Source organism: Homo sapiens, chromosome 3, assembly GCF_000001405.40.
Source record: "Homo sapiens chromosome 3, GRCh38.p14 Primary Assembly".
In the NCBI taxonomy this organism is placed as follows: Eukaryota; Metazoa; Chordata; class Mammalia; order Primates; family Hominidae; genus Homo; species Homo sapiens.
The window spans coordinates 155,596,962-155,624,917 of record NC_000003.12 but is presented as its reverse complement, the minus strand read 5'-3'; the positions used below and the strand labels follow the sequence as shown (position 1 = coordinate 155,624,917).

General features: G+C 38.3%; 1 protein-coding gene across 19 annotated transcripts in view, besides 3 other annotated features; it reads left to right on the top strand.

The window, feature by feature from the left end:
- The window catches only part of PLCH1 (phospholipase C eta 1), a 294,138-nt gene that overhangs the window by 120,154 nt on the left and 146,028 nt on the right, over window positions 1-27,956 (top strand). The window lies entirely within an intron of this gene.
- Window positions 4,933-5,477: an enhancer, noted in NCBI's record as "NANOG hESC enhancer chr3:155337230-155337774 (GRCh37/hg19 assembly coordinates)". NCBI's record gives its function as "activates a minimal SCP1, AML or CMV promoter by ChIP-STARR-seq in naive H9 embryonic stem cells {active_cell/tissue: H9 hESC(naive)}" and the evidence as "EXISTENCE:reporter gene assay evidence [ECO:0000049][PMID:30033119]".
- Window positions 5,562-6,086: an enhancer, noted in NCBI's record as "H3K27ac hESC enhancer chr3:155336621-155337145 (GRCh37/hg19 assembly coordinates)". NCBI's record gives its function as "activates a minimal SCP1, AML or CMV promoter by ChIP-STARR-seq in naive and primed H9 embryonic stem cells {active_cell/tissue: H9 hESC(naive and primed)}" and the evidence as "EXISTENCE:reporter gene assay evidence [ECO:0000049][PMID:30033119]".
- Window positions 6,087-6,613: an enhancer, noted in NCBI's record as "H3K27ac hESC enhancer chr3:155336094-155336620 (GRCh37/hg19 assembly coordinates)". NCBI's record gives its function as "activates a minimal SCP1, AML or CMV promoter by ChIP-STARR-seq in naive H9 embryonic stem cells {active_cell/tissue: H9 hESC(naive)}" and the evidence as "EXISTENCE:reporter gene assay evidence [ECO:0000049][PMID:30033119]".

Below are 27,956 nucleotides of genomic sequence, written 5' to 3'. Positions count from 1 at the left end.
TTGTTGTTCCATATGAAATTTAAGGTAGTTTTTTTCCAATTCTGTGAAGAAAGTCAGTGGTAGCTTGATGGGGAGAGCATTGAATCTATAAATTACTTTGGGCAGTATGGCCATTTTCACGATATTGATTCTTCCTATCCGTGAGCATGGAATGTTTTTCCATTTGTTTGTATCCTGTCTTATTTCCTTGAGCGGTGGTTTGTAGTTCTCCTTGAAGAGGTCCTTCACATCCCTTGTAAGTTGTATTTCTAGGTATTTTATTCTCCTTGTAGCAATTGTGAATGGGAGTTCACTCATGGTTTGGCTCTCTGTTATTCGTGTATAGGAATGCTTGTGATTTTTGCACATTGATTTTGTATCCTGAGACTTTGCTGAAGTTGTTTATCAGCTTAAGGAGATTTTGGGCTGAGACAATGGGGTTTTCTAAATATATAATCATGTCATCTGCAAACAGAGACAATTTGACTCCCTCTTTTCCTAATTGATACCCTTTATTTCTTTCTCCTGCCTGATTGCCCTGGCCAGAACTTCCAATACTATGTTGAATAGGAGTGGTGAGAGAGGGCATCCTTGTCTTTTGCTGGTTTTCAAAGGGAATGCTTCCAGTTTTTGCCCATTCAGTATGATATTAGCTGTGGGTTTGTCATAAGTAGCTCTTATTATTTTGAGCTACGTCCCATCAATACCTAGTTTATTGAGAGTTTTTAGCATGAAGTGCTGTTGAATTTTGTCAAAGGCCTTTTCTGCATCTGTTGAGATAATCATGTCGTTTTTGTCATTGGTTCTGTTTATGTGATGGATTACATTTATTGATTTGCGTATGTTGAACCAGCCTTGCATCCCAGGGATGAAGCTGTCTTGATTGTAGTGGATAAGCTTTTTGATGTGCTGTTGGATTCGGTTTGCCAGTATTTTATTGAAGGTGTTCGCATCAATGTTCATCAGGGATATGGGCCTGAAATTTTCTTTTTTTGTTGTGTCTCTGCCAGGTTTTGGTATCAGGATAATGCTGGCCTCGTAAAATGAGTTAGGGAGGATTCGCTCTTTTTCTATTGTTTGGAATAGTTTCAGAAGGAATGGTACCAGCTCCTCTTTGTACCTCTGGTAGAATTCGACTGTGAATCTGTCTGGTCCTCGGATATTTTTAGGCTATTAATTACTGCCTCAATTTCAGAACTTGTTAGTGGTCTATTCAGGGAATCGCCTTCTTCCTGGTTTAGTCTTGTGAGGGTGTATGTGTCCTGGAATTTATCCATTTCTTCTAGATTTTCTAGTTTATTTGCATAGAGGTGTTCATAGTATTCTCTGATGTAGTTTGTATTTCTGTGGGATTGTTGGTGATCTCCCCTTTATCATTTTTTATTACGTCTATTTGATTCTTCTTTCTTTTCTTCTTTATTAGTCTGGCTAGTGGTCTATCTATTGTGTTCATCTTTTCAAAAAACCAGCTCCTGGATTCATTGGTTTTTTTTGAAGGGTTTTTCATGTCTCTATCTCCTTCAGTTCTGCTCTAATCTTAGTTATTTCTTGTCTTCTGCTAGCTTTTGAATTTGTTTGCTCTTGCTTCTCTAGTTCTTTTAATTGTGATGTTAGGGTATCGATTTTAGATCTTTCTTGCTTTCTCTTGTAGGCATTTCATGCTGTAAATTTCCCTCTACACACTGCTTTAAATGTGTCCCAGAGATTCTGGTATGTTTTGTCTTTGTTCTCATTGGTTTCAAAGAACATATTTATTTTTCCCTTAATTTTGTTATTTACCCAGTAGTCATTCAGGATTCAGTTTCCATGTAGTTGTGTGGTTTTGAGGGAGTTTCTTAATCCTGAGTTCTAATTTGATTGCACTGTGGTCTGAGAGACTGTTTGTTTTGATTTCTGTTCTTTTGCATTTGCTGAAGAGTGTTTTACTTCCAATTATATGGTCAATTTTAGAATAAGTGCGATGTGTTCCTGAGAAGAATATATATTCTGTCGATTTGGGGTGGAGAGTTCTGTAGATGTCTATTAGGTCTGCTGGTTCCAGAGCTGAGTTCACGCCCTGGATACACTTGTTTATTTTCTGTGTCATTGATCTGTCTAATATTGACAGTGAGGTGTTAAAGTCTCCCACTGTTATTCTGTGGGAGTGTAAGTCTCTTTGTAGGTCTATAAGAACTTGCTTTATGAATCTGAGTGCTCCTGTGTTGAGTGCATATATATTTAGGATAGATAGCTCTTCTTGTTGCATTGATCCCTTTACCATTATGTAATGCCCTTGTCTCTTTTGATCTTTGTTGGTTTAAAGTCTGTTTTATTGAAGACTAGGATTGCAACCCCTGCTTTTTTTTTTTTGCTTTCCATTTGCTTGGAAAATATTCCTCCATTTCTTTATTTTGAGCCTATGTGTGTCTTTTGCATGTGAGATGGGTCTCCTGAATACAGCACACCAATGGGTCTTGACTCAGTATCCAATTTGCCAGTCTGTGTCTTTAACTGGGGGCATTTAGCCCATTTACATTTAAGGTTAATATTGTTATGTGTGAATTTGATCCTGTCATCATAATGCTAGCTGTTTATTTTGCCCGTTAGTTGATGCAGTTTCTTAATAGTGTTGATGGTGTTTACCATGTGGTATGTTTTTGCAGTGGCTGGTACTGGTTGTTCTTTTCCATGTCTAGTGTTTCCTTCAGGAGCTCTTGTAAGACAGGCCTGGTGGTGACAAAATCTCTCAGCATTTGCTTGTCTGTAAAGGATTTTATTTCTCTTTTGCTTATGAAGCTTAGTTTGGCTGGATTGGAAATTCTGGATTGAAAATTCTTTTTTTAGGAATGTTGAATATTGGCCCCCACTCTGTTCTGTCTTGTAGGGTTTCTGCAGAGAGATCTGCTGTCAGTCTGATGGGCTTCCCTTTGTGGGTAACCTGACTTTTCTCTCTGGCTGCCCTTAACATTTTTTGCTTCATTTCAACCTTGGTGAATCTGACGATTATGTGTCTTTGGGTTGTTCTTCTTGAGGATTATCTTTGTGGTGTTCTCTGTATTTCCTGAATTTGAATGCTGGCCTGTCTTGCTAGTTTGGGGAGGTTCTCCTGGATAATATCCTGAGGATTGTTTTCCAACTTGGTTCCATTCTCCCCGTCACTTTCAGATACACCAATCAAACATAGATTTGGTCTTTTTACATAGTCCCGTATTTCTTGGAGGCTTTGTTTGTTTCTTTTCACTCTTTTTTCTCTAATCTTGTCTTCTTGCTTTATTTCATTGAGTTGATCTTCAATCTCTGATATCCTTTCTTCTGCTTTATCGATTCGGCTATTGATACTTGTGTATGCTTCACGAAGTTCTTGTGCTGTGTTTTTCAGCTCAATCAGGTAATTTGTGTTCTTCTTTAAACTGATTATTCTAGTTAGCAATTCGTCTAACCTTTTTTCAAGGTTCTTAGCTTCCTTGCATTGATTTAGAACATGCTCCTTTAGCTTGGAGGGGTTTGTTATTACTCACCTTCTGAAGCCTACTTCTGTCAATTCGTCAAACTCATTCTCCATCCAGTTTTGTTCCCTTGCTGGTGAGGAGTTGTGATCCTTTGGAGAAGAGGCATTTTGGTTTTTGGAATTTTCAGTCGTTTTGCGCTGGTTTCTCCCCCTGTTCATGTATTTATCTACCTTTAGTCTTTGATGTTAGTGACCTTCGGATGGGGTCTCTGAGTGGATGTCCTTTTTGTTGATGTTCATACTATTCCTTTCTGTTTGTTAGTTTTCCTTCTAACAGTCAGGCCCCTCTGCTGCAGGTCTGCTGGAGTTTGCTGGAGGTCCACTCCAGACCCTGTTGCCTGGGTATCACCAGTGGAGGCTGCAGAACAGCAAAGATTGCAGCCTGTTCCTTCCTCTGGAAGCTTTGTCCCAGAGGGGCACCCGCCAGATGCGAGCCAGGGCTATCCTGTATGAGTTGTCTGTCAGCCCCTACTGGGAGGTGTCTTCCAGTCAGGATACATGGGGGTCAGGGACCCACTTGAGGAGGCAGTCTGTCCCTTATCAGAGTTCAAACACTGTGCTGGGAGATCTGCTGCTCTCTTCAGGGCTGTCAGGTAGGGACGTTTAAGTCTGCTGAAGCTGCGCCCACAGCTGCCCCTTCCCCCAGGTGCTCTGTCCCAGGGAGATGGGGCTTTTATCTGTAAGTCCCTGACTGGGGCTACTGCCTTTTTTTCAGAGATGGCCTGCCCAGAGAGGAGGAATCTGGAGAGGCAGTCTGGCCGCAGTGGCCTTGCTGAGCTGCGGTGGGTCATCATCTTTCTTATACAACTCCCACTTTCCCCACGGTTGCAGCTCTTTCTTACTTTGGTTCTTTCTTGATGGCTGTCTTCTTTACCCTCAAAAGTTTTGCTTTCAGTTGTGTCTTCATGTCCCTGCCACCATTGTGTGATACAATTTTTACTCTTCTCTTTCAATCCATCCCTGACACTACCTTGTTCTCCATGACATTTTTTCCTGTTCCTTGTCAATTATTGTACACTTCCCATGCTTTACTTGAAAAACCACACCAATCATAGGGTAATCTCAGCCTTGCTTATTCTTGTTGTATGGTCTACCTGGTGCTGCTCAGGAAGTGTGTGGCAGATGTACGTGCATACGTTAGTATGTGTAACTATTTCTGAATTCAGACTTAATAAATCTTTTATGCAGAGGGTTATAGTTTAATGCTGGCCTTTTTTTCTTTTTTGGGATTGACTATTTAGAAAATGTTGTAACACATCTGCTCTTATTATCTATGCATACTTTGATTATAAGAAGTTTTCAGTGTTTTTCATCTTCCATATTTAGATTTTTCTACTATTTTTTAAAAACGATTTTGAAATCTGTAGTACACTGATTTGGGATAACAACTCCAATCAAAATGCCATAAATAGGCTGTGATGAACACTTAGTTACTCAGCAATGTTTATGTTATTTAATTTTTTTAAAGGAAGCTTATGATATTAGGACAAAGGTTTGGATGAGGACAAATGATTTTTGAAAAGTAAACCTGAGGGGATTCTCCCAGGCATTTTCCTTACCACACAGAGTTCTATTTTTGTTTATAGGATGGATTTTTTTTTTTTGACAAAAACATCTGCCATAGAAATAAGGTGCTTACTTTAAATGCCACACAACTTGATTTCCAACTGTCTGTGGTTGGAAGTTGTCAGGCCTGCTTCAGCATAGCAGGTGGTCTCTGAAGCTTTTAGTCCCTTGGATTCTTTAGGCCTGAGGGCAACAGAGGCTTTGGATGGGGGTAGGGAGTATGGCTTTGTTTTTCAGGGAAAATGTGATCTCTTCTTCCATTTTCTGTTTTGACTCTTGCCCCTTAGAAAGCCTTAAAGCAACAGGGGATTTGGAACTCTCTGGATAAAATTAGGACAATTTGCATGAAATCAATTTGCTTTCTTTTTCTTCTTTTTTTTTTTTTTTACTTTTTCTGTTTTTGTTTTGAAAAAGAATCAGCTTTATGTTGGTGAAGGAAATAATGGCTCAAGTATAAGAACTGGGAGCTACTGGGGGTATATGAATTTGTTGGAGTATGGAATAGGCACTCCCTTTTACAATGCAGTTGAACAAAGGAGGTAGATGGACTCCTGTACTGTACACTGCCCTGTACACTACTCCTGTACTGTACACTGCCCTGTACACTACTCCTGTACTGTACACTATAGAGTATAAAGTGTACAGTGACTTTAAGAAATGAATTAGACAATAACAACCTTAACAAATACTTACTCTGTGTTTAGAATGTGTAATGTACTGTGTAAGTATCCTATAGAGGTGTTACCAACTATAAGTTCTGGGGGCTCTCAGTGTAATAGAAATTGACATGAGGCTAAAAGAGTTTTCCCAGACAAGCCTTCATTGGAGCTTTTGCCCAAATATAAGGGAGGCAGCATGAGAAAGAGTGAAAAAATTCCCTGACTGACTCTCCAAAAAGAGCCAATAGGGCTTTTTTCTTGGGCAAAGTATGGGAATTGATATCAGGGGCAGGGTATGCAGGCTGAGTTGGGCAAATCAAAGAGGGACAGGGTGTGCAGGTCAGCATTATCTGGTTGCAATGGTTATCTTGGGTAATGGGCCACTTGGTGGTCTGGCCTGTGGCAAAAAGGCTGTAAAGCAATTGTTCAGCACTTCTTCCCCTCAGGAAGCTCCTCAGGAAGCTGAGGTGGGAGGATCACCTGAGCCCAGGAGGTCAAGGCTGCAGTGAGCCCTATGGTGCCACTGCCCTCTAGCCTGGGCAACAGAGCCAGAGCCCTGTCTAAAAATAAAAAGAAGATCAGATACCATTGGGAATTTAAGTAAATAGGCTGGAAAATGAATCTCCTGTTGTCTGAAATGTAAGGCAAACAGACTTTTAGTAAGAGGCATTTCTATGGAAACAAGAAAAACAAATGTTAATGGTAGAAATTTTATTGTTAAAGAATGGAGAGCTCCATTCTTTAACAGTCTATCCAGACGTTAAACTCAAAACGTCTTAGTTACAGAAGAGGAGGACGGTGGCTGTTTGACATTTTCTTCTTGCCTGTATCGTAAGAAATACGTTTTAGCCTATAGGGCCTCAGGAAAGAGGTAGTAGCAATTCTATTGAGCTTTAGTCAGAAAAATGGGTGATATTTTGAAAATGTTAGTTTGAAGACTTGTAATCCAGAAAAGATTTAAGATTCAGTCCAAACTGTAGAAAATAATACATATTAAAAAAAACCTCAAAAACGAGACAAGACTAGAATCTAACAATAGGTGTATTATAATCTTTCTCCATTCTCTCATTTTTATCCAAGACAAATCATGGTAGAACCAATTTGTTTGCAAAAATAAGTTTTAGTCTTATATTTGGCCTGATTAGTTATATAAAATGCAACAAGAATAATTATTTGTCATATAAGCTCTCTTTCAAATTGGCATTCTTAGAACTTTTTCCATAAGGAGTCTCAGATTAGACCTTCTAAAGCCTTGAACCCATCCATGGATTTATTTGTGCCTGCAAATACCTGTATGAATTGGATGAATTCCTCTCCTATGGAGGTCCAAAGTTAACTTGGGGCTCCTGGGCTTGTTAGAAAGTGGCATTCTTTACTTACCACAGGTTAGGACTCCTGTACAGGGACTGGGTAGAGAAGGTATGTGAGGACCAGTTTTTTCAAGGGATTTTATTGGCTCTATAAATCACCTCTGATTCCTTAAAGCAGTCTGTTTCTATTTAAAAGAATGCCATTTCAGTCAAAGCCTTGGTAAAGTAACCAGCGTCTCCAACTGTGCTCCTATAAAACAGATTCTTATTGTACTTATGCAAATGACTATATTGCCATAATTTAAGAATACTCACAAATAGTTTCCAAATTCTGGAGAAACCAGGTAGAGAGAAAGAAACATTCTCCAAATTTTGCTCACAGGAGTATACTTCATTGTTAAAAGCTGTAAATAGCTCAAAAGAAAAAACAAGTTTTCTTGACTGAAAAACCAAAGGATCAGCAAAGTTTCAAGCAAAAAGTCATAGAAAGATTATTTTAATGTTGTATTGGTTCAGTCCATGCAATTAACTCCTTTTCTGCTTGATATTTTTGAACATAGTAGCTCTCCAAGAGAATCTTGGAAGATTTTTTCTCTATTCTAATGGCCCAGTCACCAAAGTTATCAGAGGCCTGCATTCAAGAGTGCCTGTCAGAGTCCTATAGCTAATTATAAACCATCCTCTGAAAAGGATCAAACAGGACAATTGTCTGTGGATGACAAAAGTCTTAGGACAGTCACAGTTAAAGACACAATTGACAAGTAAATTTGGTTATGCCAGTGGCACATAATGATAATAATTATTACTGATAATATATTGACAGAATTACAATTTTGAAAACTATATTAATAACACATTTATATGGATATAACCCAAATAAAATTAAGCACTATTTTATACTTGACAATGTTTTCCATGTGATTTAAATTAAATTAATTATATTAAACTGAATATGTTTCTTTTGGATTCTAGGGGAACTAATATCTAACAGGGTTAATCAGGTTAAAAAAAGCTAATTTAGAATTTGATTTTGGAAAGTTTGTCACATATCAAAGGTTTAAAACACTTGATATCACAAAATTAAGACCACAGTTTATTTATTTAGCCAAAGTGATTAACTCAAAGATTTCAAAAAAGCAAAAATCCTTTATTATTTTATAGAGAGGAGACAGCTTTCCAAATAACAAGACCCAATAAAGACAGTTTGAGGCCAGCTGAATCTGTCTCTTCTCTGTCCCCTTTTCCTGTAGGCAAGCAGAAATCTTGATCAAAGGTAAACCAAACTTTTTTCTTTGCAGTAATATAGTAATGCTAAAGCTAATTTTAATAAAATTTTATATGTAAATCTAATTTAAACAAGTTTAATCATAAAAGAAGACTTTAATAAACCTTTTATAACCTTTTACAATTTTCTGTTAAAGAGCAGATCAATGCTCCAAGAGAACTCTGTTATTCTGACACATGGGCTCAGGTTCTGGCCCTGCATCAGTGCTAATGTTTAATTTATGGAAAAACTAAATGATGCCATTTTAATTTTAGTCGTCTTGCTCACACACAAATTTTTCTTTGTAAGATTAATCTTTTACAAACCTCCTACACCTTGCTTAAACTTTCAGTTTTATTCTTTTCTATCTTAAAACAATGCTTAAACCCTCTAAATTAGACAGAATTACTTTCTCTTAGAAGAAACTATAATTTCCATACCTTTCTACTAAAAATGCATGATTTTTATTTTTAGTGTAAGTAATTTTAATTATGTATCAGGTGTAGAGTGTAGGATACAGGGCAGAACCACAGATAATGTCGGACTCTTTCTAGCATAGCTAGGGGATATGGCTAACTCCAAATGTCTCTAGGCCTTACCTAGAATCCAATGGCTCTAAAGCAAGCAAGTTGAACAATTATCAAAAGCCATAGAAGCAGTTTATGACTTTAAAGCATCTAGTAAGGACAGTAGTATCTTACCTGTCTAATTTAGACCAAATGTCTAATTTTTAAAATTTTAATAATATTTAGGGAACAGGTGGTTTTTGGTTACATGTGTAAGTTCTTTAGTGGTGATTGCTGAGATTTTGGTGCATCTGTCACCCAAGCAGTATACACTGTACCCAATGTGCAGTCTTTTATCCTTCACCCCCATCCCAACCCTCCCCCTGAGTCCCCAAGGTCCATTATATCATTCTTATGCCTTTGTGTCCTCATAGTTTAGCTCCCACTTGTAAGTGAGAACATATAATGTTTGGTTTTTCATTTCTGAGTTACTTCACTTAGAATAATGGTCTCCAGCTCCATTCAGGTTGCTGTGAATGCCATTATTTCATTTCCTTTTATGACTGGACAGTATTACATTTTCTTTATCCACTTGTTCGTTGATGGGCATTTGGGCTGGTTCCATATTTTTGCAATTGTGAATTGTACTGCTGTAAACATGTGTATGCATGTGTCTTTTTCATATAATGACTTCTATTTCTCTGGGTAGACATCCAGTAGTGGGATTGCTGGATCAACTGGTAGATCTACTTTTTGTTCTTTAAGGAATCTCCACACTGTTTTCTATAGTGGTTGTACTAGTTTACATTCCAACCAGCAGGGTAGAACTGTTCCCTGTTCACAACATCCATGCCAACACTTAGTATTTTTTGATTTTTTGATTATGGCAATTCTTGCAGGAGTAAGGTGGTATCGCATTGTGGTTTTGATTTGCATTTCTCTGATGATTAGTCATGTTGAGCACTTTTTCATATGTTTGTTGTCCATTTGTATATCTTCTTTTGAGGATTGCCTTTTCATGTCCTTACCCACTTTTTGATAGGATTTTTTGTTTTTTTCTTGCTGATTTGTTTGAATTCCTTGTAGATTCTGGATATTAGTCCTTCGTTGGATTCATAGTTTGTGAAGATTTTCTCCCACTTTTTGGGTTTTCCATTTACTCTGCTGATTATTTCTTCTGCTGTGCAGAAGCTTTTTAGTTTAGTTAGGTCCCATCTATTTATCTTTGTTTTCATTGCATTTGCTTTTGGGTTCCTGGTCATGAAGTCTTTGCTTAAGCCAATGACTGGAAGGGTTTTTCTGATGTTATCTTCTAGAATATTTATGGTTTCAGGTCTTAGATTTAAGTCTTAGATCCATCTTGAGTTGATTTTTGTATAAGATGAGAAATGAGGATCCAGTTTCATTCTTCTACATGTGGCTTGCCAATTATCCCAGCACTATTTGTTGAATAGGGTGGCCTTTCTCCACTTTATGCTTTTGTTTGCTTAGTTGAAGGTCAGTTGGCTGTAAATATTTGGCTTTCTTTCTGGGTTCTCTATTCTGTTCCATTGGTCTATGTGCCTATTTTTATGCCAGTACTATGCTGTTTTGGTAACTATAGTCTTGTAGTATAGTTTGAAGTTGGGTAATGTGATGCCTCCAGATTTGTTCTTTTTACTTAGTCTTAGTTCTCTATTCTGTTCTATTGGTCTGTGTGCCTGTTTTTATATCAGTACTATGCTGTTTTGGTAACTATCTCCTTGTAGTATAGTTTGAAGTTGGGTAATGTGATGCCTCCAGATTTGTTCTTTCTACTTAGTCTTGCTTTTGTTATGTGGGCTCTTTTTTGGTTCCATATGAGTTTTAGGATTTTTTTTTCTAGTTCTGTGAAAAAAATGATGGTATTTTGATGGGCATTGCGTTGAACTTGTAGATTGCTTTTGGCAGCATGGTCATTTTCACAATATTGATTCTACCTGTCCATGAGCATGGAATGTGTTTCCATTTGTTTGTGTCATCTATGATTTCTTTCAGCAATGTTTTGTAGTTTTTCTTGTAGAGATCTTTCACCTCCTTGGTTAGGTATATTTTTAAGTATTCTATTTATTTTCAGCTATTGTAAAAGGGGTTGAGTTATTGATTTGATTCTCAGCTTGGTTGTTGTTGGTGTATAGCAGTGCTACTGATTTGTGTACATTGATTTTGTATTCTGAAACTTTACCAAATTAACTTATCAGATCTGGGAGCATTTTGGGTGTGTCTTTAGGGTTTTCTAGGGATAAAATATCGTTGGCGAACAATGACAGTTCAACTTCCTCTTTACGGATTTGGATGCCCTTTATTTTTTTCTCGTTTGATTGCTCTGACTAGGACTTCAGTAGTACTATGTTGAACAGAAGTGGTGGGAGTGGTCATCCTTGTCTCGTTCCAGTTTTCAGGAAGAATGCTTTCAAGTTTTCCTTATTCAGTATATGTTGTCTGTGCATTTGTCATAGATAGGTTTTATTCCCTTGAGGTATGTCCCTTCTACGGCAGTTTTGCTGAGGGTTTTAATCATAAAGGATGCTGGATTTTGTCAAACACTTTTTCTGTGTCTGTTGAGATGATCATATGATTTTTGTTTTTAGTTCTGTTCATGTGGTGTAACATATTTATTGACTTGTGTGTGTTAAAGTATCCTTGCATTCCTGGTATGAAACCCACTTGTTCATGGTGGATTATCTTTTTGATATGCTGTTGGATTCGATTAGCTAGTATTTTGTTGAGGATTTTTGCATCTATATTCTTCAGAGATATTGGTCTGTTTTTTTTTGTTGTTGGTGTTATGTCCTTTCCTTGTTTTGGTATTGGGTGATACTGGCTTCATAGCATGATTTAGGGAGGATTCCCTCTTTCTCTATCTTTTGGAATAGTGTCAATAGGATTGGTACCAGTTCTTCTTTGAATGTCTGATAGAATTCAGCTGTGAATCCATCTGGTCCTGGACATTTTTTTGCTGGCAATTTTTAAATTACTGTTTCATTCTCACTGCTTGTTATTGGTCTGTTCAGAGTTTCCATTTCTTTCTTGTTTAATCTAGGAGGGTTGTATATTTCTAGAAACTTATCCATCTCCTCTAGGTTTTCTAGCTTGTGTGTGTTAAGTTGTTCATGGGAACCTTGAATGATCTTTTGTATTTCTGTATTATTGATTGTAATATCTCTCGTTTTGTTTCTAATTGAGCTTATTTGGATCTTTTCTTTTTTTTTTTTTTTTTAATACACAGTTTCACTCTTGTTGCCCAGGCCAGAGTGCAATGGCACAATCTTGGCTCACTGCAACCTCTGCCTCCCAGGTTCAAGCGATTCTCCTGTCTCAGCCCTCCAAGTAGCTGGGATTACAGGCATGCACCACCACGCCCGGCTAATTTTGTATTTTTAGTAGAGACGGGTTTGCTCCATGTTAGTCACTGATCTCGAACTCCCAACCTCAGGTGATCTGCCTGCCTCGGCCTCCCGAAGTACTGGGATTATAGGCATGAGCCACCAAGCCCAGCCCTCTCTTTTTTTCTTGGTTAATCTTGATAATGGTCTATCAATTTTGTTTATCATTTCAAAGAACCAGCTTTTTGTTCATTTATCTTTTTTTTTTGTTGTTTGTTAGTTTTAGTTTCATTTAGTTCTGCTCTGATCTTGGTTATTTCTTTTTCTTTTCTTCTGCTGGGTTTGGGTTTAGTTTGTTCTTGTTTCTCAAGTTCCTTGAGGTGTGACCTTAGATTGTCTTTTTGTCCTCTTTCAGACTTTTTGATATAGGCATTTAATGCTATGAAGTTTCCTCTTCTTTTTTTTTTTTTTTTGAGACAGAGTTTCACTCTTGTTGCCTAGGCTGGAATGCAATGGCACGATCTTGGCTCACTGCAACTTCCACCTCCCAGGTTTAAGTGATTCTTTTGCCTCAGCCTCCCGAGTGGCTGGGATTACAGGCACCTGCCACTATGCCTGGCTAATTTATTTTATTTTATTTTATTTTTTAGTAGAGACGAAGTTTCACCACATTGGCCAGGCTGTTCATGAACTCTTGACCTCAGGTGATCTGCCCGCCTCAGCATCCCAAAGTACTGGGATTACAGGCATGAGCCACCATGCCTGGCCAAAGTTTCCTCTTAACACTGCTTTTACTGTATCTCAGCAGTTTTGATAGGTTGTGTCACTCCTATTGTTCAGTTCAAATAATTTTTAAATTTCCACCTGGATTTTATTGTTGACTCAAAATTCATTCTGGAGCAGATTATTTAATTTCTATGTATTTGTATAGTTTTGAGCGTTTCTTTTGGAGTTAATTTCCAATTTTATTCCATTGTGGTTTAAAGGATACATGGTATAATTTTTATTTTGTTAAATTTGTTGAGACTTTTTTCATGACCTATCATATAATCTGTCTTGGAGAATGTTCCATGTGCTGAAGAAAAAAATGCATATTTTGCAGTTGTTGGGTAAGATGTTCTGTAAATATCTGTTCCATTTGTTCTAGGGTGTAGTTTAAGTCCATTGTTTTTTTGTTGACTTTCTGTCTTGATGACCTGTCTAGTGCTGTCAGTGGAGGATTGAAGTCCCACAGTATTATTGTGTTGTTGTTCATCAGTTTCTTAAGTCTAGTAGTAATTGTTTAATAAATTTGAGAGCTACAGTTTTAGGAAGATATATATTTAGGATTGTGATATTTTTCTGTTGGACTAATCCTTTTATCATTATTTAACATTCCTTTTTGTTTTTTTATTTGTATTTATTTATTTTTTTGAGACGGAGTCTTGCTCTGTCACCCAGGCTGGAGCGCAGTGGCCTGATCTCGGCTCACTGCAACCTCCGCCTCCCAGGTTCAAGCAATTCTCCCTGCCTCAGCCTCCTGAGTAGCTGGGATTACAGGACTCCACCACGATGCCTGGCTAATTTTTGTATTTTTAATAGAGAGGGGGTTTGCCATGTTATCCAGGCTAGTCTTGAACTCCTGACCTCAGGTGATCTGCCTCCCAAAGTGCTGGGATTACAGGTGTGAGCCGTGCCTGGCCCTCTTTGTCTTTTTAAACTGTTTTTGCTTTAAAGTTTGTTTTGTCTGATATAAGAATAGCTACTTCTGCATGCTTTTGGTGTTCATTTGCATGGAATACCTTTTTCTACCCCTCTACCTTAAGTTTACATGTGTCCTTATGTGTTAAGTAAGTCTCTTAAAACCAGCAGATACTTGGTTGGTGGATTTTTATTCATTCTGCCATCCTGTATCTTTCAAGTGGAGCATTTAGGCCATTTATATTCAACATTAGTATTGAAAGTGATGTACTGTTATATTCATCATGCTAGTTTTCTGAATTCCTTGTGTTTTTTTTTAATTGTGTTGTTTTTTTTGTAGGCCCTGTGAGAGTTATGCTTTAAGGAGCTTCTGTTTTGGTGTATTTTGAGGTTTTGTTTCAAGTTTTAGAGCTCCTTTTAGCAGTTCTTGTAGTGCTGGTGTGGTAGTGGTGAATTCTGTCAGCATTTGTTTGAAAAAGACTTTATTTCCCCTTCATTTATGGATCTTAGTTTTGCTGGATTACAATATTCTTGGCTGATAATTATCTTGTTTGAGGAGGCCAAAGATAGGGTCCCAGTTTCTACTAGCTTATAGGGTTTCTGCTGAGAAATCTTCTGTTAATCTGATAGGTTTTCCTTTGCACGTTACCTGACGGTTTTTCCTCACAGCTCTTAAGATTCTTTTCTTCACCTTTGCTTTAGATAATCTGTTGACAATGTGCCTAGGTGATGGTTTTTTTTTTTTTTTTTTTTTTTTTCTCCAGACGCAGTTTTGCTCTTGTTGCCCAGGCTGGAGTGCAATGGCACAATCTTGGCTCACCGCAACCTCTGCCTCCCAGGTTCAAGCGATTCTCCTGCCTCAGTCTCCTGAGTAGCTGGGATTATAGGCATGTGCAACCATGCCCGGCCAATTTTTTGTATTTTTATTAGAAATGGGGTTTCACCATGTTAGCCAGGATGGTCTCAATCTCCTGACCTCAGGTGATCCGCCCGCCTTGGCCTTCTAAAGTGCTGGGATTATAGCTGTGATCCACCGCACCCAGTGGTGATGGTCTTTTTGCAGTTAATTTCCTGGGTGTTCTTTGAGCTTCTTATATTTGGATGTCTAGCTCTCTAGTGAGGCCAGGGAAGTTTTCCATGATTGTTCCCTCAAATATGTTTTTCAAACTTTTAGATTTATCTTCTTGCTCAGGAATACCAATTATTCTTAGGGTTAGTCATTTAACATAATTCCAAATTACTTGGAAGCTTTGTTCTTTTTTAAAATTCTTTTTTCCTTATCTTTGTCAGATTGTGTTAATTTAAAACCCTTGTCTTTGAGCTCTGAAGTTTTTTCTTCTACTTGTTCTAGTCTATTGTTGAAACTTTCTGGTGTATTTTGTATTTCTCTAAGTGTCTTTCATTTCCAGAAGTTGTGTTTGTTTTTACTTTATTATATATATTTGTCTGGCAAATTTTTCATTCATATCCTTTATTATTTTCTTAATTTCTTTGTTTTTCACCTTTCTCTGGTATCTTCTTGAGTAGCTTAATAATAGACCTACCTTATGAATTCTTTTTTTCTGGCAATTCACAGATTTGTTCTTGGTTTGGATCCATTGCTGGGAACTAGTGTGATCTTTTGAGGGTACTATAGAATCTTTTTTTGTCATAGTACCAGAATTACTTTTTTGGTTCTTTCTCCTTTGGGTAGACTATTTCATTGGAAAGATCTGCGATTCAAGGGCTGCTGTCCAGATTCTTTTTTCCCATGGGGCGATTGCTTGATGTGGTGTTCTCCTGCTTCCTCCAGGGATGGGGCTTCCTGAGAGTTGAACTGCAGTGATTCTTATTGCTCTTCTGGGTCTAGCCACCCAGTGGGGCATCAGGCTCTGGGCTGGTGCTGGGGAAAGTCTGCGAAGAGTCCTGTGATGTCAGGCATCTTCATGTCTCCTAGCTGTGGATACCAGCCCTGCTTTGGTGGAGGTGGCAAGGGAATGAAGTAGACTCTGTGAGATTTGTTGCTTGTAGTTTTGTTTAGTGCACTGATTTTCTTGAATGCTGGTTTTGGTGGCAGTGAAATTGTCATGTGGACATACTCAGGACCTCTGGTTAGCCAGTATGTTGCATGAGATGGAATTTGCTATTGTTTTCCCTTTCCTGGGAGCAGAGTTATTCTGTCTTGAGTTGCTGTAATTGCTTGAGTTGGTTGACCTCCAGTCAGGAGGTGGCACTTTCAAGAGAGCACGAGCTGCTGTAGTAGAAAGAGGATATAAGCTTGCTCTAAGTTGGCCAGGATAAATATTCTGGTTTCTCAGGCGATGGGCAGGGCCATAAAGTTTCCAAGACTTTATGTCTTTTGTGTTCAGCTACCTGGGCAGGCACAGAAATACCATCCGATGGGGGCAGGATCAGGCGGGTCTGAGCTCAGACTCTCCTTGGGTGGGAGTTGCTGAGGCTGCTGTGTGGGATGGCCGATGGAATTATGTTCCAAGAGTAATTACGGCTGCCTCACTGCGCATACAGGTTTCCAGAGAAGTGGGGGAAAGCTGGCAGTGACGGGCCTCACACAGCTTCCATGAAGCTAGTGAGCTGGTTTCTAGGGAAGTGGGGGGAAACTAGCAGTGACAGGCCTCACTCAGCTCCCATGCAGCTTCGTGCAGTTTATATGCAGGCAGTCTATGCACCAGGCTCAGACCTTGCCCCAGGCTTCAAGCCTCCTTGTTGAGAAGGCAAGCACAGCTTTCAGGCCTCACCCCTCCCTGCCTGCTCACACTGTCAGCCATGGCTCCTGCAGCAATTTCTGTTTGTCCCTCCAGATTCTGCTCAAGAAAGTTCATGCTCAGTCGAAATTATTATAAAGTTCAGCTAGAAGCTTCTTTCACCTTGTGACCCCCTCCCTAGTCCTGTGGGATCCCTTCCCCAAGGACCCCTGTTAGATAAAGTCAAGAATGGCTTCCCTAGCCTGGAGCTGGTGACTGGGAGTGCCTACAGGGCTGTTCCTGCTGCTTCTTCTACTTTAATATTTCACTTGGCTCCCTAAATCCATTTCAGCTCTAGGTAAGGTTAATTCCTTCTCCTATAATCTGGATTTTCAGGTTCCCCAGGGGAACCTGAAAGTTTTCAAGTTCAAAGGAAGGTTTTCTCCTCTTATACTTTGGGAACTCAGTTTTTTTGCTGTCTCGTGGAATTTACAGAGTGAGCTGTTTCTTCCACAGGATCTGTGAACTCTTTCTCTTCCTGGCACATTCCTGCAGTGGTTCTTGGAGCAGAATTTCACAGTGTGAGTCTCCATACTCTGTCCTGTCCATCCAAATGGTAGCTGCATCTTAGTCCTGACTTCTCTCTGCCATTTTTCTTCCCAAATGCCTATATTTTGAAGATATTTTTATTAATAATCTTTAAATAAAACAGAGGCTTATGCCTGTAATCCTAGCACTCTGGGAGGCTGAGGCAGGCAGATCGCTTGAGCCCAGGAGTTTGAGACCAGCCTGGCCAACATGGTGAAACCCTGTTTTTATGAAAAAATACAAAAATTAGCCAGGTGTGGTGGCATGCACCTCTACTCCCAGCACTCAGAAGGCTAAGGTGGAAGGATCATCTGAGCCCAGGGAGGTTGAGGCTGCAGTGAGCCGTGATCACACCAGTGCACTCCAGCCTGGGTGACAAGCTGTCTCAAAAGAAAAAAAAACAAATAAACATTGTATTTATTTACCAAAGATTACTATAATAAAAAAACTAAAATGCATTCATGTTTTTTTATTTTTTTGACAAAATATATTATTTAAGTACTTATTTTTCTTTAAGCCAATTTATTAGGGCTCTTTTATATAAATATCATACAGGCAACGCATATAAATACACAGACAAACAGAAGTAGATCTGTTAGAGTAATACATTTTTTATTTGCCAGTTTTTAAGTTTCTCTTTCGCATTTTAGACCATCAGTCTCTTGATTACTTGCTTCCTGCCCTAAACAGTGGTCAGCTGGGCAACTCTAAATTTGCATTTTTAAGAGGGCAACTCTTAGATCAAACAAGATAGAGGATTTACATTTTATTTAAACCAAGAAAAAATGGTGTGACTTAAAGTTCACACCATTTTGTCCAGGAAAAGCAGACACTGTTACACATGGAGATTTCTTTAAAGATGTAAATTTTTAAATTGTATTATTGGCTTTAGGGTGAAGCCTTTTAAGGAACAGGGTGAGGAAGAAGTCAGTTTCTAGGGCATAATAAGCAGGCACAACTGGAAGGTAAAACAGATCACCAGGGATTAAAGATCCCATTTATATATTGAATCCTAGGTTCTCTAAAAGTTGGGAACTCAACTGGATGAGGCATTACAGTGCTTCCACAGTGTATCTTGTTGCAAAGGCATTTTTCCAAGGCTGGTGGGCAACCCAATGGCAATCAGCTGACTCTATTATCAGCCTATTCCCCCATTCAATACCTTCTTCATGCCCAAGAGCATGTTTTTCTTATCTAAATGTGCAAAGAAAGGAGTATTTTCCTGTGGTAATAACCATTCACTATAAGCAACTGCCACTTAGAGTGAATGGTTACTACTACAGAGCAATAGTAAAAGTATATTTCCTACGTAGCTAATTATATACCAAGCATAAACTATATCTCTAAAAGTATATTTCTTACCTAGCTATTACACACCAAGGCTGAAAGTTTCCTCATAATGTGGAGTTATTTTTGATGCTCCCCAAAGTAAAAAAGATCAAGTGATGCAATGCAAAACAGAGCGAAGTCTTAGATTTTGAGCAGATCTGTCCATTTACAGTTCTTGGGGTTCCATGAGGAAAACAGAGTTTTTTCCTAAAACGGGGTCTCCTCCTCTGTTTTTCCTAAGGAGTCCCAGGCTGTCAGAAATTACCTTAGGTCCTCACTTGTGGGCATCAAGGGTAGCAAGAAGAAGTAAATGGAGAAACAATTCAATGGACTGAGAAGAAAACTTTTTTTCCTCAAAAAACAAGATTCAAGAAGAAAAAAAAGCATAAAGCCCTTTTGAATATACGTATAGCTTTGATATCTGTTTTTAATTAAGCTGACTTTTAATTCTAGAGCTCTTTTTTCTTAAAAAAAAATTCTTTAAAATCTCTTTTTACCAGCTAGAGCTGGGACAAATAGCTGACACCCTTGGCTTTTAAGCCTTCTTTTTTTTTTCCCTCCCACGAAGATATTTTCCCAAGTGAAACCAGTAAGCCTTAACTTAGGTTATGACTTAGCCACAGATACATGAGGTGTCTCCAAAGGGAGGGCGAGTTGTTTTTACAAGATCTAGAATCACCCCAAAGGTAGCTCAGAGAAGGGAAAATTCAACACAGGAAGTTAGAAGTTGTTCATGGAGAGAAAAAAAATCAATAAATGGCAAAGGTCACACAAACAACAGACCAGAAAGAACTCATTCTCTAAGCCAGCAGTTGAACTCGGGCTGCCATTGCAAAAGGGCAAAGCCTTTGCTACCGAGCTGTAGCATGGGGCAATTGCCATTATTTTTCCCAGAAGGAGCCTAGAGCAGGCATTTTCGGGCTTGAAAAGGATTTTAACTGCTTAAGATGATTTTTAAGGCTAATGATGACATTATAATGCATCCTTCTTTTAATTTAAACCTTTAAAAAATTATTGAGAATAAGAGATTGCTAAAGTCCTTTTTGTTTTAATAGTGTACTTAGTTCTAATAGCAACTCAATCCAAAAGTTCTTTAAAGTCAAATGGTAATTTTTCAGATTTTTATTTTTTTATTTTTTAAAATCATACAAGCAAGAAATATTTCTAGAGAGGGGGTAGAGTAGGCATTTCCATGATCCCCAAGAATTTACTCTCAGAAATGGGCTTATGGTAGCATGAGACCTTTTAAGACAAAACTCACCCAAGGGCTTGACACATTTGGACTAAGAGTGTGTTGACTCCTTTCAGACTAGTCACCGATGTGAACCTGAAAATTCCCACCCTCCACGTGGTGGAGACAAAGAGAGAGTACCTCTACAGGGTCACAGGGTCATGCTCCCCAGGACATAAAACAAGAGGGAAACCTCATTCAGTTTTTGTTTCAGGGACCCAAAGCAAAGTTTATAACTGACCAGTCTGCTGGGCCAACTTGAATGGCGGGAGACCTAGACCTGCGTTTTATCCAGTGGAATGCCGTCCATGACAGAATGGCAAAGAGAGACAAATTCAGAGCACAAAGTACACCAGATTCGCTACAATCTAAGACTTGTCACACTAATCCTTTTTCTCATTAATTAAAACCTTGCAGAGGAGGCAAACAGTGATTTTTATCATTCTCTTAACCAGTTTGCACAGAGAATGGCCAGAAGCCCGGCTAGCAGGAAATTCTTACCTTTCGCTGGCCAGAGTTTAGGGTCTCCTTTCTCTGAGTGGCTCTGGTGACCCTACTTGCCACTATATTGTTATGAATTTTTAGTATTTCCTTTTGTTTTCCATGAGTATGGAAAACATGGAACAGACACAATTGTTACACATAAAATAGACATCATTAAAAAAGAAAGTGTTATGTGGAAGGGTTTAATACAAATAGAAAAAGGTCTGACATTTAACAAACTACTGATGAATTCCTTTCACCCTTTCTTTGACCGAATTCTCCTCATTTGTATTTATCAAGTTTATAAACATATTGACTATGTACATGCAACGTTCGCAAACAATTTTCAAACTGTTAACCAATTAGTTTTTAAAAGCCTTTTAAATAATCTTGTCTTCTCCACAGGAATGATTTAGGCAATGAAAAAAAATTAACAAACTCTACATTGTTTGTTCTTTACTGGGAAGAATCATGACTTAGTAAGAGTGAATCACTCCATGGTTGTTTGTAAGCACATTTATTCATAAGCTTGTATTATTTGACTTTAAGGCTTTACTACTGGCAAGGAATAGCTTTTTAAGTGAAGCCATTTGCTGTGAAGAGCAGTTTTATATGAATAAACTATAATAATTAGTTTATATATATATTTATTTATATACACTGCTCTTCACAGATAATGGCTTCACTTAATATTTTATTGATTGATTGATTGAGTCTAGGGTCTTGCTCTATCTCCCAGGCTGGGGTGCAATGGTGCAATCACAGCTCACCGCAGCCTCAACCTCCTGGGCTCAAGAGAGCCTCTCGTCTTAGCCTCCTGAGTAGCTGGGACTCTAGGTTTGTGCCACGAGACCTGGTTAATTTTTTAAATTTTTTGTAGAGACCAGGTCTCCCTATGTGGTCCTGGCTGGTCTCGAACTTGTGGGCACAAGTGATCCTCTCACCTTGGCCTTCTAAAGTGCTGGGATTACAGGTGTCAGCCACCACACACAGCCAAGCAGTTATGTTTTATATAGAGATCATTAAAAAAAAATCATGTCTGTAGTAAGACACCCAGATGTTAATCAGTTTCTTTCTTTAAAATTATTCTAAAAAGCTTTCAGAAGAACTGGAATTTTTTCTCATTGAAAGATAAAATAACATTTATGGAAGCTAGATCAGCTGTTTTATAAACTCACAGAACATAGAGAAAAATGCCTTTTTAGGTTGAGGAAAGTAGGATATTCAGTTACCTTCTGAAGTTCACACAGCCAGTGACAGAGCCCAGACCAGAACTCTGTTTGCTCCCTTCTTTGTGCCCACAAAACTGTGGGCAGATGCTGTTATCAAGCTGCCATGCCATAAACTAGATCTCTCAGCACCTGCTATGTACCAAGTCCCAAAATAGGTGTTGGGTTTGTGCTGAGAATTAAACAAACATACCCTTTACTTCTGCCCTGATGGTTTTAGGAAATCTCCCTTTCCTTACTTTTTGACAAACATTACCTGCATCATTTTGCACTTTTTCCACATAGAAATGAAATTGTTTTCAGAAGCTAATCTCTTTCAATTACTCAGATTTACTCTAATCTGTGGAAGCTGGCAGGAAATCAGTTCACATTTTTTATGTACCTTTTTACTAAAAAGATTGTCTTGCAAAGGACCTGGACTTTTTTTTTTGTTGTTGTTGTTTTTGTGCCTGCTAATTCACAGTTCAATGATCAGTGTCCCAGAATAGATGTGTTCACAAAAGAGTGCAAGTGATATTCTTGTATGACCCTAATCTCGGCGAATGGTCATGATTCTGTATGTGAAAATCTGTCTCAAGGTTCTTTTGTAGCAAAGAGTGATCAGAGCACCAAGTGTGCATATTACTGCTAGAAGTGATTTTGCCTGTTGGTCCTTTCAAAGGCTAGAACAAGGAAATATATGCAGGTATATAAAAACATACACATATACACAAACATGCAAATATACATGCACAAATATGTATATATGTGTGTGTGTGTAGATTGCTTTCTGTTTATATATTTATAGTCATGTGCCACATACTGACATTTCAGTAAATAATGGACCACATATATGACAGTGGTTCCTGTGAGATTATAATACCATATTTTTATTGTACCTTTTCTGTGTTTAGATACACAAATATTTACCATTATGTTACAATTGCCTATAGTATTCAGTACAGTAGCATGTTGTACAGGTTTGTAGCCTAGGAGCAGTAGGTTATACCATACAGCCTAGACGTGCAATAGGCTATGCAATCTAGGTCTGTGTGAATACACTATGATGTTCACACAATGACAAACTCCCCTAATGACACATTTCTCAGAATGTATCCTCACCCTTAAGAGGTGCAGGACTGTGTTACTTTCTGTTTTGTTCCCCTTCCTACTCTTACTGATTTAAGTATGTGGGATACTAAGAGTAGTGTCATTCCCTTTCTTATCCTTTCTACTCGATTTTCTGTCATTCTTATAGGTAACAGGGCCATTGTTATCTGATTTATCCTTCTTGGGTTCGTTTTTGTAATGATAAGCAGGTATTTGTATATTTAAAACATTTCCCATTCTTTTCTTACACAAAAGATATCATACTATATTTACCTATTCATACTTTGTCTTATTGAAACCTCCTGGAAGTTACTCCATATCAGTTCATAGAGATCTTCCTCATTATCTTTTACACTTACATAGTACTCCATTGTTTATTTTACTCAACCTGTCTCCTATTCAGGGTAATTTTTACCCGAAGTGCCAGTGGAAGAGTTTAGCATGATGTGGCGGGGCTGGAGGAAGGAAAAGATAAGAAACAACATAGTCATCATAGAAAACTCAAAAACATTATGCTTAGTGAAAGGCCAAGCACAAAAGACTGCATATTATATGATTTTATTTACATGAACTATCCAGGAAGGGCCCATTTATTGAGATAGAAAGTAGGTCAGTGGTTGTCCAGGACTGTGGTGAAAATGGGGAGTGACTGCAAATGGGCATGAGGGATAATGGAAATGTTGTGTGATTAGACTGTCACACAACTCTGTAAATAAACTGAAGTCAGTGAATTGTACATTTAAAACAGTTGAATTTTACTGCATATCAATGACACCTCAGTAAAACTGTAAAAAAAAATCAGCATCAGGTGGCATGTATGACATTCCTAACAGAATGTGATTATTTCTGATTCAAACATAATTGGAAGAATTAAACCTTCTTAGATGTCATACATACTTGGTTGAAATCTTGGGAACCTTCCTCCAAATGATATATAGTAATCATATATGTGTATATATATCCAAATGACATATACTAATCATATATATGTATATATGTATTATATATGTATATTGCCAAGTGATATACACATATATAACATAAATGATATTAATATGTTACTTCAAATCCAAAGTATGTATTTTTTACAACATTTTCTGCTTGAGGGATTTAGTGACCTTATAGCCCCTAAGGAAATTTACTTATATTAAACTGCTTGTGGCAGAAAGGATTGACTTTAATTATTTTAAAAAATTGAATTATTTAATACCCTGTAGGCCAGGTGCGGTGGCTCACGCCTGTAATCCCAGCACTTTGGGAGGCCAAGGCGGGTGGATCACGAGGTCAGGAGGTCAAGACCATACTGGCTAACACGGTGAAACCCTGTCTCTACTAAAAAATACAAAAAAAATTGGCCGGGCGTGGTGGCGTGTGCCTGTAGTCCCAGCTACTCGGGAGGCTGAGGCAGGAGAATGGCGTGAACCCGGGAGGCGGAGCTTGCAGTGAGCCGAGATCACGCCACTGCACTCCAGCCTGGGCTACAGAGCGAGACTCCGTCTAAAAAAAAAGACCTTGTAGACCACATTATTATGCCTTTTCTTTTATCGATGGGACTCTATTAAGAGTTTTAAAACTCTAGCTATGTAATAAAGTTAGGAATATAGTCTTCGACTCATCTGTTCTGCTCTTTAAATATTTATGCTACTCTGTTAGGCAGCCATTAAAATGATAATTATTAAGACTCTGTAGAAACATGGAAAGCTGTTATAATACAAATGAAAGAAGCAGAGTGCCAAATGGCTTAAATATCACAATTTCAACCAGTGCAACACATTTTTATACAAGTGTGAAGGTCTAGAGCATAACAGATACAAACAATATTTGTGCTGTGTGATGGGCTGGTAGATGTTGCTGCATTGTATCCAAATAAACTTTTTTTTTTTTTTTTTTAGCTATCTTAAGCGTACCATAAAGGAGAATGTAGAATTAAAGGGATGGTGAACATATTGGCAGCTGCCAGAATTTGTAACCTGCATTTGCAGACTTTTCTCAGAGAACCTTCAATACTGGAAATGTGTGTGATGAAGTTAAATCATTCTAAGCCACTAGAACTCTTCCCTTGTTTACCTGTGGCAAAGCCATTCTTATTCTCTTTTATGGAATCTACCAATAGAGCATGGGTGGACAATGATTTTTAGGGGTGGTAACTGCTGTTAATCATTTCTGTTGGAGGCAGAATAGGAAGAAAGTGGCTTGTGCTGACACGTAAATGATCTAGATGAGACTGGAAGAATATTTTGTATGTATTGTTGGTGACTTTTGCCCACTGGAATGAGTTGCAAAGAGTTATTGAGGGTGCTAACCAGTTATCTCTGGTTAGCTTTGTAATTACAAGGCATTGTCAACTATCTTGTTTGGGAAAGGGAAAAGTAAGTTAGATGACTCTCAAGATTTCAGTGGACTTGATTTTTCAATTTACCTCTATCCAAATGGCTTTTCTGTGTGATAGGGAGCAATCAGGTAGAAAGCATAAAGCAGCTACATAAACAATTTAAGAAGCCTATTGTTTCAGACTCAGGGTCTCATAGAAATCATATTATATGATTTATATGATTTTATGCTAAAACAATGTGCAGATATACCGTTCCTGTTAAAATGTTGAGCTGTTATAGCCATGGCAGTTCCATTTCAGGGAAAGGAAAAGGAGCTGAGAAAGGAAAGAAAGGGATTGTGAACAAAACAGAGGACCCTGTGTCAGATACATAGGCAGTCCTTGCTGTTAGATCTCTGATAGTATAGTTAACTCAGTTTTCCACTCTGGCGTAAACAATTTGTTTTCCTGTGTCAGATACATAGGCAGTCCTTGCTGTTAGATCTCTGATAATATAGTTAACTCGGTTTTCCACTCTGGCTTAAACAATTTGTTTTATTCTCTCTTCTCAAGGAAACATCTTCCTAAATTATATTTTTTAGCCAGCCAATCCTTTGAACAGATATATCTAGTGAGCCTCTCATTGCTGGTGGATCAAAGTCTTAACCAGCATCCCCAGTCCCCCCACAACCTGGTTTTATCTAGCTCATGGAATCATACATTCTGTCAATTCCCTTTTGAGTCACTCTTCCAAAGATAGAGGCTCATCTTTTCTCTTTTCTTCTGATCATTCTTAACTCATACCCTTTCCTATACCCAAGTCTTCATTGATGGTGTCTTATTACTACATTTCTCCCCATTCCAGCCTACTCTATTCTCTTTTTCTTTGGCCTCCCATAGTATTTCTGTATTTACTTCTGACTGGGCATTTATTTTTAACTATTTCAATAACAATAAAACTATAGCAGTGTCTTAGCTTGAATTACTGTAACAAAATACTATAGACTGGGTAGCTTAAACAACAGACATTTATTACTCACAATGCTGGATGCTGAAAAGTCTAAGATCAGAGTCCCAACAGATTCACTTCCTGGTGAGGACTCTTTTCCTGGCTTGAAAAAGGTAGATGGCTACCTTCTTGCTGTATCTTCATATGGGGAGGGGGGCGGGTGGAGAGAGAAAGAGAGGGAAAGAGAGAGAGAGAGAGAGATCATGGGGCCCCACTTGCATGACCTCATCTGTTTCTAATTACCACTCAAAAGACCCATCTCCAAATACTATCACACTGAGGGTTAGGTCTTTGGGGACGTAAATACACATTCAGTCTGTTACAAATAGCTACCATTTTTGGTGTTTCGGATGTGCCAGCTACTGTTTTCAGTACTTTACATGAATTAACTCATTCAATCCTTACTTCAATTCAGGAAGTAGATAATTATTCCCATTTTATAGATAAGGAAATGAGTTACTAGCTGTATGTAGTCATACAGTTAGTAAGTGGCAGATCTGGAATTCTACCCCAAGCTGGAAACAGACTGTATTCTTCACCACAGCTCTGAATTGCCATTAATAAGTATCCTGTATAGATGTTTTGTTCTCTTAAAATTTACACTCTTTAAGGTCAAAGGCAAAGTCTCCTTGTTCTTTGCTTCACCTTATGAAATAGTCTTGTGCCTGGAACAGGGAGTTTGTCTATAAACATCTGTTTATTGATATGATCTATTGTCAGTGGTCAGTGAAGTTCTAATAGGCTTTTCTGGGAATTTTGGCTTGGTTGGTTTGATTTGGTGGTTTTGTCTTGAACCTTTAATTCCTCGTGTGAGATGGTTAATGTGGCTGTCAAGAATTCAACTATGTAGCTTTCATTGCCTAAAAGAGTGATGCTCAGTGGTGGCCGAATATACTAATTTATATCAAACTCAATCTCAACTTTTGTTCTGTGCTTTAAAGTGAGCATTTCAAGTTTGTGTGTTTATTTTAAGTAATTTTTTTTTTTTGAGGCAAAGTTTTGCTCCTGTTGCCCAGGCTGGAGTGCAATGGCGTGATCTCACCTCACTGCAACCTCCTTCTCCCGGGTTCAAGCAATTCTCCTGCCTTAACCTCCCAAATACCTGAGATTACAGGTGCCTGCCACCACGCCTGGCTAATTTTTGTATTTTTAGTAGAGATGGGGTTTCACCATGTTGGCCAGGCTGGTCTCGAGCTCCTGACCTCAGGTGATCCACCCGCCTCGGCCTCCCAAAGTGCTGGGATTACAGTCATGAGCCACCGCGCCCAGCCTTCTTAAGTAATATTTTATTATTTGGGAATTTGATATGTCAGATAAAATGAGTAAACGCAACCTATACTTCATCTTCTTTGTAGTATTGAATCCTGAAACTATACTTAATTTTTTGCAGTTCCTCCTTGATTTCTTTGAGGAAAGGAAAGACTTCATGGAGTAAATTGTGAACATTTGTTATGTTGAAGTGACCTTTAATAGGCACCCTATGCATACAATGTTAAGGTGTTGGATGAGATTATCTTTCCTAGTTAAGATAAAATATTTAGCCAAAAAAGCAGAAGTCTAATGTTGCTGAGGTTTGTTTATTGTGTTTCTTTTATCTGTTGTTTCTAACAGCATACTGCTTGATAAGGTAGGTACTCAGAACTAGGTATTTTGAGTGCTCTAATGGTTTATACATAAGTCTGTATATTAGTTGGTAATCTTTGTGAAATAAAAGCTATTTCTGGTTGATATAATAAAAAAATATTTGGAAGGGTACTGGATAACTTGCAGAATCAAGGGGAAAATGGGATCATTTGTCAGTCTTAGGAAGAATAAGAATTATGACAACTGTCACATCTTAGAGTAGCCAACTAGGAGTATCTCAGTTGTTGAATGGTTCAGTTCTGTTTTCAAGCAATGATATGCTCAGGATTTATGTTCTTGGGAGGGAGTCAGATTTGCTCCAAGCTTAAGTCAGGTGTGTCTACTCTTTCACTGGGGTGATTGGCAGGCCATCAAAGGCACACAAAATGGTAGAGGATGTTTCTAAAGGAAAAGTTGGGGCACCATTACCAAACAAGGGGAAACAGGCAAAAATAACAGATTCCTATATCCAGCAAGATTTGTCTCAAAGCAGAGTGGATTTAAATGACAACTTTAACTTGGACTATAAGTGATTTGGATATTACCTGGATTCATTCAACAAGTTATTCTTCTAGAAGGGTTATCTTA